The 11306-nt window shown below is 45.6% G+C and overlaps 1 long non-coding RNA gene across 1 annotated transcript; it reads right to left on the reverse strand.

Moving 5' to 3' along the window:
- Window positions 1-6822, reverse strand: LOC105372962 (uncharacterized). The gene is made up of 3 exons (XR_938084.3): window positions 6670-6822; window positions 6368-6530; window positions 1-373 (listed from the first exon to the last, which is right to left on the reverse strand). It is a non-coding gene; the product is annotated as an uncharacterized LOC105372962 (long non-coding RNA).

The raw sequence follows: 11306 nt of genomic DNA on the forward strand, positions 1-11306 counted from the left end.
TGGAGATTTAGGTCCCTTGCAAAGGGGACAGTTTATTTCAAGAGAGGAGACATGGGTTGAATGCTGGTATGTTTTAACTCTGCAGTACAAACAGTTGCAACAAGTGTGGTGAACTAATCACCCAACAGCCCTTTGCTGCCTTGTCATTGTGCCTTAAGTGTAAGTGAATATATTCAATGCCACTGCGTGCACACTTTGGTTAAAAGGTTCAAATTACAAATATTGTGTTATGTATATTTTCCCACAATGGAAAACACGCACAGCCAAGCCCAGATGCCAGTCTTGCTAGCAGCCTTCCTTTAGCTTCAAGAGTAGGCCGAGGCTCATCTGATCGCTCCAGGTATCTTGGTAGTTTATGATCGAAGTCGTCTGCCTTGGAAGAGAAATTAATGGAAAGAGGAGAAAACTTGAGAATCCACACTACTCACTCCACAGGGCCAAGAACTCTCCCTCCCGTGCGTTGCTGATCCATCTCAGTATTTCCTGTGACCACCTTCTTTTTCAGCTGAAGACTTTGCACCTTAAGGGGTTCCCAGGCTTTTCACCTTGGCTCTTGTCAGGACTGATCCTCTCAGCTACTGTCCATTTCACCTCCATTCATGTCCGTGCCACATCAGGCTGTGTTGTCCAGATGGAATGAATCCACCCCAAATGTCCCTTTCTGGAGGAAGCCACCATTATGCTCTACCTCCAACACATCCACACACACCGAGGCACCTCGCTCACACAAGGTGTGTGTCCTCCAACAAAGTTTCACACTGTAAACCCAGATAACTTTTGAAACCCAAGTTCTGTTGATCCCCTACTTCAGGTGCTCCACAGATGCTCATTTGTCTACAAAACACTGCCCCAGACAACTAAATAGTCCAACGTGACCAGCAGAATTTTTATGCTAATTCTGATATTGTGTTGAGAGTACAAGTGTTTTTCCCCTTAAAATTTCTGACTTTGTTACTGACAAAAGTATGTAACTAATGCTTTTTTTAGCTATGCTGCCAAGCACATTTACATAAAAATATACTTTTAGATTGTTTTGACAATTTGACAAAGATGATAGGAACAATGATAATCTTATTTGTTTTATGGTAATCTTTACATGTTACTTTCATCATTTCTTACATGTTGGGGCCTACCATACGTTGTACAGTGAAATTAGTGCTATGCATCATGGTTGGAATATAAATTGGCAAAGGAAATTTAGAAAATAGTTCTCTTATTTCTTAAAAAAAATTAGACCAGGTGGCTGGGCGCGGTGGCTCACACCTGTAATCCCAGCACTTTGGGAGGCTGAGGCGGGCGGATCACGAGGTCAGGAGATCGAGACCATCCTGGCTAACACGGTGAAACCCCCATCTCTACTAAAAATACAAAAAATTAGCCAGGCACAGTGGCGGGCGCCTGTAGTCCCAGCTACTCGGGAGGCTGAGGCAGGAGAATGGCGTGAACCCAGGAGGCGGAGCTTGCAGTGAGCCAAGATCGCGCCACTGCACTCCGGCCTGGGCAATGAGCAAGACTCCGTCTCAAAAAAAAAAAAAAAAAAATTAGACTTGGAACAGTGGCTCACACCTATAATCCCAGCACTTTGGGAGGCAGAGGTGGGTGAATCACCCGAACCTAGGAATTTGAGATTAGCCTGGCCAACACAGCAAAACCCTGTCTCTACTGAAAATACAAAAATTATCCGGGTGTGGTGGTGTGTGCCTGTTGTCCCAGCTACTCGGAAGGTTGAGGCACGAGAATTGCTTAAACCTAGGAGGCGGAGGTTCCAGTGAGCCGAGATTGTGCCACTGCACTCCAGACTGGGTCTCAAAAATAAAAATAATAATAATGACCAAATGTCATTATGCATTACATGACTGTGTATGAATGCTCAAAGCTACATTACTCATCACAGAAAAAAATAATTAACTGTCCATTAACTGATAAATGAATAAACACTCTCTGTATGAATAAACACAGCAGACTATGAAGGAAAACACATGACCGGCATGTGCTAAAGTGTTGATTAACTTCAAACATAGTATGCTAAATGAAGGAAGTCAGATTCCAAATATATATATGTGTTCATTTCTATTAAAGAAGGAGGAAATTTATGGAGATGGAATATCATAGCAGTGTTGCTTAGGGCTAGAGATGGGAGGGGGGATTAACTGCCAGTGGGCAAGAGAGAACTTGCACACAGTATCAATCTAATAAAGCATCAAATTGTATACTTTTCCAGTGGGTGAACTTTATGATGAGTTCACACCCAATAAAGGGCATATCTCTTGCACCCTGCCCTCTGCGGGTGGACGCCAGTTCCCAGAGGCTATCAGTGACTGAAGGTCCTTGTGATTTCCACGTGGTAGCTTCTGTGAAGAGCCCGGTGGGCAGAGGCCCTGGCTGAGTCAACAAGGCTGACAAGGCTCATGGCTGTGTTCTGGATGCAGGCCCAGCAGATGTTTGAGGGGGAGGTGGCGAGCCTGGAGGCCCTCCAGAGCACGGGCCTGGTGCAGGCGCCGAGGCCCATGAAGGTCATCGATTTGCCGAGAGGTGTGGCCGCCTTTGTGATGGAGCATTTGAAGATGAGGAGCTTGAGCAGGTGAGCATGTGTGAGAGACCCATAGGCACACATGTGTACAGGCAGAGAGAGACTCAGAGGAGACAGAGTGACACAGAGAGAGACAGAGATAGGGATGGGCAGAGGGAGACAGAGAAATGGAGTAGGCTCTGGCTGAGCCATCCACACAACTGCCCAGTTATCAGAGGCAGGACCAAGAGTTCCACCCTGCCATTCTTAATGGAGATTAAAAGTTACTGCTTTCTGATATATGACTTTTTTTTAAGATTAGTTTGCTATAATGAGGCTGCATAAAGTAACTATATATTATATATATATATTTTTAAAACACAGTCTTACTCTGTTGCCCAGGCTAGAGTGCAGTGGTGCAATCTCGGCTCACTGCAACCTCTGTCTCCAGGGTTCAAGTGATTCTCCCACCTCAGCCCCCTGGGTAGCTGGGACTACGGGTGCCCGCCACCACAACTGGCTAATTTTTGTATTTTTAGTAGAGATGGGGTTTCATCATGTTGGCCAGGCTAGTCTCAAACTCCTGACTTCAGGTGATCCACCCACCTCAGCCTCTCAAAGTGCTGGGATTACAGGCATGAGCCACCGTGCCCGGCCTGCTTTGTACTTTATAGTACATTAATGCCAGTGCACTTTGGGCAGAATGAAGCTGATCTATGAATTATCTGGAGTCCTTATATTTTTTTATTTTTTCTTTTCTTTTCTTTTTTTTTGAGATAGAGTATCACGCTGTTGCCCAGGCTGGAGTGCAGTGGCATGATCTCAGCTCACTGCAACCTCCACCTCCTGGGTTCAAGCAACTCTCCTGCGTCAGCCTCCCAAGTAGCTGGGACTACAGGCACCCACCACCACGCCCAGCTAATTTTTGTATTTTTGGTAGAGACGGGGGTTTCACCATGTTAGCCAGGCTGTTCTCGAACTCCTGACCTCGTGATCCACCTGCATCGGCCTCCCAAAGTGTTGGGATTACGGGCATGAGCCACTGCACCCAGCCTCTACATTTTTCTCTAGTTATTAAAGTCATACATAGTCATTGTATGAAATGTGGAAAATACAAACTCGTGTGAATACATAAAGCCACCTTAATTCCATCAGCAAAGAATAATCACTGTGAACATTCTGACACATGATTGCCATCCCAGTGTTTTGTTTTGTTTTGTTTGTTTGTTTTTGAGATGGAGTCTCACTCTCTTGCCCACGCTGGAGTGCAATGGCGTGATCTTGGCTCACTGCAAGCTCCGCCTCCTGGGTTCACGCCATTCTCCTGCCTCAGCCTCCCGAGTAGCTGGGACTACAGGCACCTGCCACCACGCCTGGCTAATTTTTTGTATTTTTAGTAGAGACAGGGTTTCACCGTGTTAGCCAGGATGGTCTGGATCTTCTGACCTCATGATCCGCCCACCTCGGCCTCCCAAAGTGCTGGGATTGCAGGCATGAGCCACCAAGCCCAGCTGGCAATTGAAAAATTCTTAGCCCCAGGAGAAAGAAGTACAGGTGCTGAGGACAGGCCCTCTCCCAGACAGTTTGTTTATAAGCTGAGGCTGCCATTCATGTTTGACACTGTCTTGTCCGGAAACGGTATGTATCACATTACGTATATTGCCAGATTTTCATACATGAACCAATTTGAAATGAAATAAAACAACAAAGCATCATGTCTATTTTGGACAAAAACAGGCAATCTTTCCTTACTGTGACTCTTCCTCCAGCAGCCTCTCAGGGAGGCCAGGAGGACAGAGTGTCTGGCTGGCAGTGTATTGGCAGTGTTGCTTATGGATGACTCGGGGCCCTAGCTTGAGATGGACGCAGCACTGGCGTGCACAGGTGTGGTAGGTTTGCCGCATGGGCTCAGCTGCTGCTGGGCCATCCTCCTGGGTGGGAGAGGCTTGGAAAAGAGGAGCAGGACTGGGATGAGGTTCAGAGTCCTCAGCTGTGGAGCTAGAGGCCACCTAAACCAACAGGAAATGGGCCAGGCATGGTGGCTCAAGCCTGTAATCCCAGCACTTTGGGAGACCGAGGCGGGCAGATCACGAGGTCAGGAGATCGAGACCATCCTGGCTAACACGGTGAAACCCCGTCTCTACTAAAAATACAAAAAATTAGCCGGGCGTGGTGGCGGGTGCCTGTAGTCCCAGGTACTAGGGAGGCTGAGGCAGGAGAATGGTGTGAACCCGGGAGGCGAAGCTTGCAGTGAGCTGAGATCGCGCCACTGCACTCCAGCCTGGGCGACAGAGCGAGACTCCACCTCAAAAAAAAAAAAATCGACAGGAAATGCTCAGTCTCCCCTGTGCCCAACTCTACACTGTGATGCAACAAGAGCGTCCCTCACCTCTCCCGCCACGTTGAACTTGCCGCTGAATTGCCACTATCTCCCTGACCTCTCCCTAGACCACCTCAGCCTCCAGGGACCTACATATGCCGCCGGTGCATTTCTCCTTTGTCACATAAGGTTTTGTGATTGACGAAAAGCAATCTTACTTTGGGAGCCTGGGTCTATACAAAATATTGTATTATATTTATTCACTAAGCCTATTTCTTAAAGATAATCAGTTACAGATATTTTGAAAATACAACGTCAGGTCACTTAAAAATACCCGCTGTTTCCCATGTGGTAGGTCTGCTCGCAGGCTTGCATTTCTATCCCACGTCTGTGCTCCTTGGTCAGAGGCGCTCCTGCTCACACAGGCAGGAAGGGCGGCTCCTCATAGAGGGAGGTGTGGGCCGGGAGCTGATGCTCTAACTCTGCTGCACCAGGGAGCTTCAACGAGGCTGACAGGCCTCACTGACCACCAGGGGTCCTGCTGGTTCTAATTCATCAGTGTCCATGGGTAGCTCACAGAATTTGAGTATTTCTGAGGATTTTTTCCTGGCTTTATTGAGGCATAATTGAAAAATTTTAAAATGTGTATATATAAAGTGTACAATGTGAAGTTTTGATATATGCAAACTATGAAATGACCACCATCAAGCTAATGAACGTATCCATCGCTTCACATTGTTGCCATTTGTGTGTGTGGTGAGGATATTCGAGGTGCACTTTCTCATAGATCTCGAGCGTGCAATTAATCACTATGAACTACGGTCACCATGCTGCGTGTCAGGTCTCCAGAACGTACTCATCGCATCACTGAAACTTTGTGCCCTTTCACCGTCTTCCCCATCTTTTTCATTCTCCGACACCACCCTTCTACTCTGTTTCCATGACTTGGACATTTTAGGCTAATGGCTGGGCAAAAATCTGTGGTATGTACACAGAGAGATGACATCAGCTATGTGAGCACGGGGGCCGCCTTTTAACCATGAGTGGTGTCTTGGAACTCCGTATGCCCAGGTACTTCCAGGCATATACATGGGGGTGGGTCACCCCTGCACTGCGACCAGTGAGCCTGCCGCTGAGTGATGAATGCCACCCAGTAGTCTTGAGCTTCCACATGCCCCGCCCCCCACCACTCACCCTGCAGCTCTCTCACAGAGAAGCTCAGGAGCCTGGGTCATTCTCTGTACCTCATTTTCCGAGGCGTGGGGCTGGAAAGCCCGTGGGCAAGGCTGTGGTGAGCCATGAATGCGTCAATGTGTGGAAAGCCCACAGCGGCGGTGGGGTTCCCTTGGAGAATGTAGATGAGGCACCTGTGCTGTGTAGGTGGGACACATCCCCTGAGGAGACACACTCCCACACACATTCACAGTCACACCACACGACACCCACGCAGACCCCCCAGAGCCCCATGCACAAAAACCCACCCACCTAGAGGGACATGGCTGCTCCAGGGACTGTACGATGAGGCCACGGTTCTTTACCTGCAAAAACCGCTCCTTCCACCACCCCTGCCTGGTGGCCAGCAGGAAGCTGGAGTCAGATCTCCAGACTGAAGCCAGCAGGAAAGCCCCGCCTTTCTTTTCATCTGGATTTTTCAGCAGCAAGTCAGTGATTGCAGAATACAGACTCCTTTCCTGAGGCCACCTACAATTACAGGAGAGAAGAGACCATGAAGACCAAGTCACGTACGTGGTGTTTCTCAGGCCTTTTGTTCCCCCTGTGAACACAGAATCCCAGATGGAAAGCAGTGGTCAAAGGCTCCAGAAGCCAGCACAGACGACACCTTGTGGGAGGTGCAGGCTCTCCCTGGCAGACGCGTCTCTCTAGTTCACTGTGGCTGCCAATCACAAAACTCTTAATCCAGAGAGAACTTGCTGCTGAGCAAAACTTCCCCTTTCACACAGCTTGAAGCCTGATGTTGCCCCTCCTGACTGTCCTCTCTAACCAGTGTCTTCTGCAAGAGTCGGCCAGAGTCAGTGCAGGCTGCTAGAACAATACTGGCTGGGCGTGGTGGCTCCTGGCTCTTATCCCAGCACTTCGGGAGGCTGAGGCAGGTGGATCACCTGAGGTCAGGTGTTTGAGACCAGCCTGGTGAACATGGTGAAACCCCGACCCTTCTAAAAATACAAAAATTAAGCCAGGCATGGTGGCTGGCGCCTGTAATCCCAGCATTTTGGGAGGCTGAGGCGGGCAGATCGCTTGAGCCCAGGAGTTGGAGACCAGCCTGGGCAACACGGCAAAACCCATCTCTAGTTTTTTTTAAAAAAGGAAAAAAAATCAAAGAGGAGAAAACACTTCCTAACTCATTATATAAGGCCCTCCTTACCCTGATGCCAAAAGAGACAAAGACTCTACAAGAACATAAAACTACAGTATCCTTTATCAATATTAATGCAAAAATCAACGAAATACTAGCAAACCTTATACCATAATGAATGGATTATATACCAGGAGCACATGGAATTTTTTCTCAGAGTGGAAGGATCGTTCAACATAGGAAAATCAGTCAAAGTAATACACCACATTAATAGAATGAAGGAGAGAAAAGCACATGGTAGAGAAAAAGCTTTGACAAAATTCAACTCATTTTTGATAAAAACAAGGAATGGCCGAAAACTCCCTTAACATAAGACATAGATGAGAAACCCACAGCTAACACCATACTCAATGCTGAAAAACTCAAAGCTTTTCCCCTAAGGCTATGAACTAGACAATGATATCGGCTTTCATGACCTTAATAAATTATTGTGGTAAGAAAACCCATGAGACATACCCTCTTAACTACTTTTTGTTTTCGTGGGGGTATTTTTTGTTTTTTGTTTTTTGTTTTGTTTTTTGTTTTGAGACAGAATCTCACTTTGTTGCCCAGACTGGAGTGCAGTGGTGCGATATCAGTTCACCACAACCTCTGCCTTCGGGTTCAAGCAATTCTCCTGCCTCAGCCTCCCGAGTAGCTGGGATTGCAAGCGCCAGCCACCATGCCTGGCTAATTGTTGTATTTTTAGTAGAGACAGGGTTTCACCATGTTGGCCAGGCTGGTCTGAAACTCCTGACCTCAGGTAATCCGCCCACCTCGGCCTCCCAAAGTGTTGGGATTACAGGAGTGAGCCACCGTGCCCAGCCTACTTTTTTTTTTTAAGTGTAGAGAATAGTACTGTTAATTACAGGTACGTTGGTATACAGCAGATCTCTGGCACTTAATTCATCTTGCTTAACTGAAACTTCATGCCTGCTTATTAGATATTTTCCCTTTCCCCCAGTCCCTCGCAACCACCAATCCACTCATTGATTCTATGTATTTGATCATCTCAGATACCTAATATAATTGGAATTATGCAGTATTTGTCCTTCTGTAACTGGCTTACTTCACCTAGGGTAATGTCCTCAAGGTTCATCCACATTGTCGCATATTGCAGAATTTCTTGATTTTAAAAGGCTGAGTAGTATTCTGTTGGATGTGTATACCATGTTGTCTTTATCTATGCATCCACTGAGAACATTAGGTTTTTTCTGTATCTTAACTATTGTGAATAGAACTTATGAACATGGAAGTGCAGGTATCTGAGATGCTGATTTCAATTTTGGATAAATACCCAGAAATAGAATTGCTAGATCATTTTGTAGTTCTATTTTTAACTTTTTAAAGAAGCTCCATACTGTTTTACATAGCAGCTGCACCATTTTGCATCCTCACCAGCAGCATAAAAGGGTTCCAATTTCTCCATATATTTGCCAGCTCTTGTTATCTTTTGTTTTTTTTTAAAAAAGGCAATCCTGACAGGTGTGGGGTGATATTTCATTGTGGGGTTTTGTTTGCATTTTCCTGATAATTAGTGAAAGTTGAGCATTTTTCATATACCTGTTGGCTATTTGTATGCCGTTTTGGAAGAAGGCTTTTGCTCATTTTTAATTGGTTTGTTGGTTTATTTTTGCTATTGATTTGTAGGAGTTTCTTATATATGTTGGAAATTAACCCCACTTTTTCTATTTAGTATAGTATTGGAAGCCCCAGCCAGAGTAATTAGGTAAGAAATAGAAATAATTCGGCCGGGCGGGGTGGCTCACGCCTGTAATCCCAGCACTTTGGGAGGCCGAGGCGGGCGGATCACGAGGTCAGGAGATCGGGACCACGGTGAAACCCTGTCTGTACTAAAAATACAAAAAATTAGCCAGGCGCGGCCGGGCGCAGTGGCTCACGCCTGTAATCTCAGCACTTTGGGAGGCCAAGGTGGGTGGATCACTTAAGATCAGGAGTTCGAGACTAGCCTGATCAACATGGTGAAACCCCGTCTCTAGTAAAAAAAAAAAAAAAAAAAAATTAGCTAGGCTTGGTGGCGCAAGCCTGTAATCCCAGCTACTTGGGAGGCTGAGGCAGGAGAATCACTTGAACCCAGGAGGCAGAGGTTGCAGTGAGCTTAGATCACACCATTGCACTTCAGCCTGGGCCACAAGAGCGAAACTCTATCTCAAAAAAAAAAAAAAAAATCTGTATTCAAGATAACATAATCTTATACGTTGAAATTTTTAATTTCCACCAAAAAAACACAGCACTAATAAAGGAATTCATCAAAATTGTTGTGTACAAATTCAATACACAAAAATCAGTTGGAATTCTATAAACAAGCAGTGAACATTTCAAAAGGAAATTAAGAAAAATTATGTTTACATTAACATCAAAGAGAAGAAAATACTTAGGAATTAGCTTAACCAAGGAGATGAAACGTGTATAAACTGAAAACTACAAACATTGCTGAAGGAAATGAAAGAGGACGTAAATAAATGGAAAGGCAACACGTTTATGGTTTGGAAGACTGACTATTGTTAAAACGACAGTGCTGTACTACCTAAAGTGATCTCTAGATTCAATGCAATGCCCATCCAAATCCCAACAGTGCTTTCTGCAGAAATAGAAAAACCATCCAAAAACTAATATACAGTCACCAGGGACCCCGAATAGACAAAACAATCTTTAAAAAGACCACCAAAGATTTATACTTCCTAATTTCTTCAAAACTACAGTAATCAAGACAATATGGGACTTTTGTAAGGAAAGAAATATAGACCAATGTAATAGAATAGAGAACCTAGAGATAAACCCTAACATACATGGTCAAATGATTTTCCACAGGATGCCAAGGCCATTCAAGACAGAAAGAATAGTCTTTTTCAGCAAACGGTGCTGGGTAAACAGGATATCCGCATGGAAAAGAATGAAGATGGTACGTTGCCTAACACCATATAACCATAACTCAAAATGGATCAGAGATCTAAGTGTAAGAGCTAAAAACTCTACAACTCTTAGAAGAAAAGATGGGGGACAAGTTTCATGACATTGGATTTGGCAATAATTTCTTGACTGTGGCACTAAAAGCACAGGCAACAAAAGAAAAAATAAATTGGACTTCATCAAAATTTAAACCTTTTGTGTATAAAAGGACTTTACTAAGTGAGTTAAAAGACAATACACAGAATGGGATAAAATACTTTATCAGAGACAAACTACATCTGGAAACTGCAAATCATGAAAGGACTGAGAATGTTTGAGGGTCAGGTAAAATTATGGTTAAAATATGGTTAAAGGCTGGGTGCGGTGGCTCACTCCTGTAATCCCAGCACTTTGGGAGGGCGAGGTGGGTGGATCACGAGGTCAGGAGATCGAGACCATCCTGGCTAACACAGTGAAACCCAGTCTCTACTAAAAATACAAAAATTAGCCGGGCATGGTGGTGGGCGCCTGTAATCCTAACTACCCGGGAGGCTGACACAGGAGAATCGCTTGAACCCGGGAGTTGGAGGTTGCAGTGAGCCAAGATCACGCCACTGCACTCCAGCCTGGGCAACAGAGCAAGGCTCCGTCTCAAAAAAAAAAAAAAAAAAAAGGTTAAAATGGGGGAAGAGCAGTGGGAGATGGAGGTGGGTGTTTGGGTGTAAGTAGGATTTGATTGTGAAGGCTTTGTGTGTGTCCTGGACTAAATAAAGTATGTGCCCTTTATCCTCCTGGACATGAGCAGTCGACTTTTTTTTTTTTTTTTTTTTTTTTTGAGATGGTGTCTCTCTCTGTCGCCCAGGCTGGAGTTCAATGGTGCTATCTTGGCTCACTGCAAGCTCCGCCTCCCGGGTTCACACCATTCTCCTGCTTCATACTCCCGAGTAGCTGGGACTACAGGCGCCCACCACCACACCCGGCTAATTTTTTCGTTTTTTGGGTTTTTTTTTTTAGTAGAGACTGGGTTTCACTGTGTTAGCCAGGATGGTCTCGATCTCCTGACCTCGTGATCTGCCCGCCTCAGCCTCCCAAAGTGCTGGGATTACAGGCGTGAGCCACCGCGCCCGGCCGAGCAGTCAACTTCTTAACCCATTAGTAAATTGCAGGCAGTGGTGAATCGTGATTGGACTCCTGCTTTAGAAACCTCCACACAG

Source organism: Homo sapiens, chromosome 22, assembly GCF_000001405.40.
Source record: "Homo sapiens chromosome 22, GRCh38.p14 Primary Assembly".
In the NCBI taxonomy this organism is placed as follows: Eukaryota; Metazoa; Chordata; class Mammalia; order Primates; family Hominidae; genus Homo; species Homo sapiens.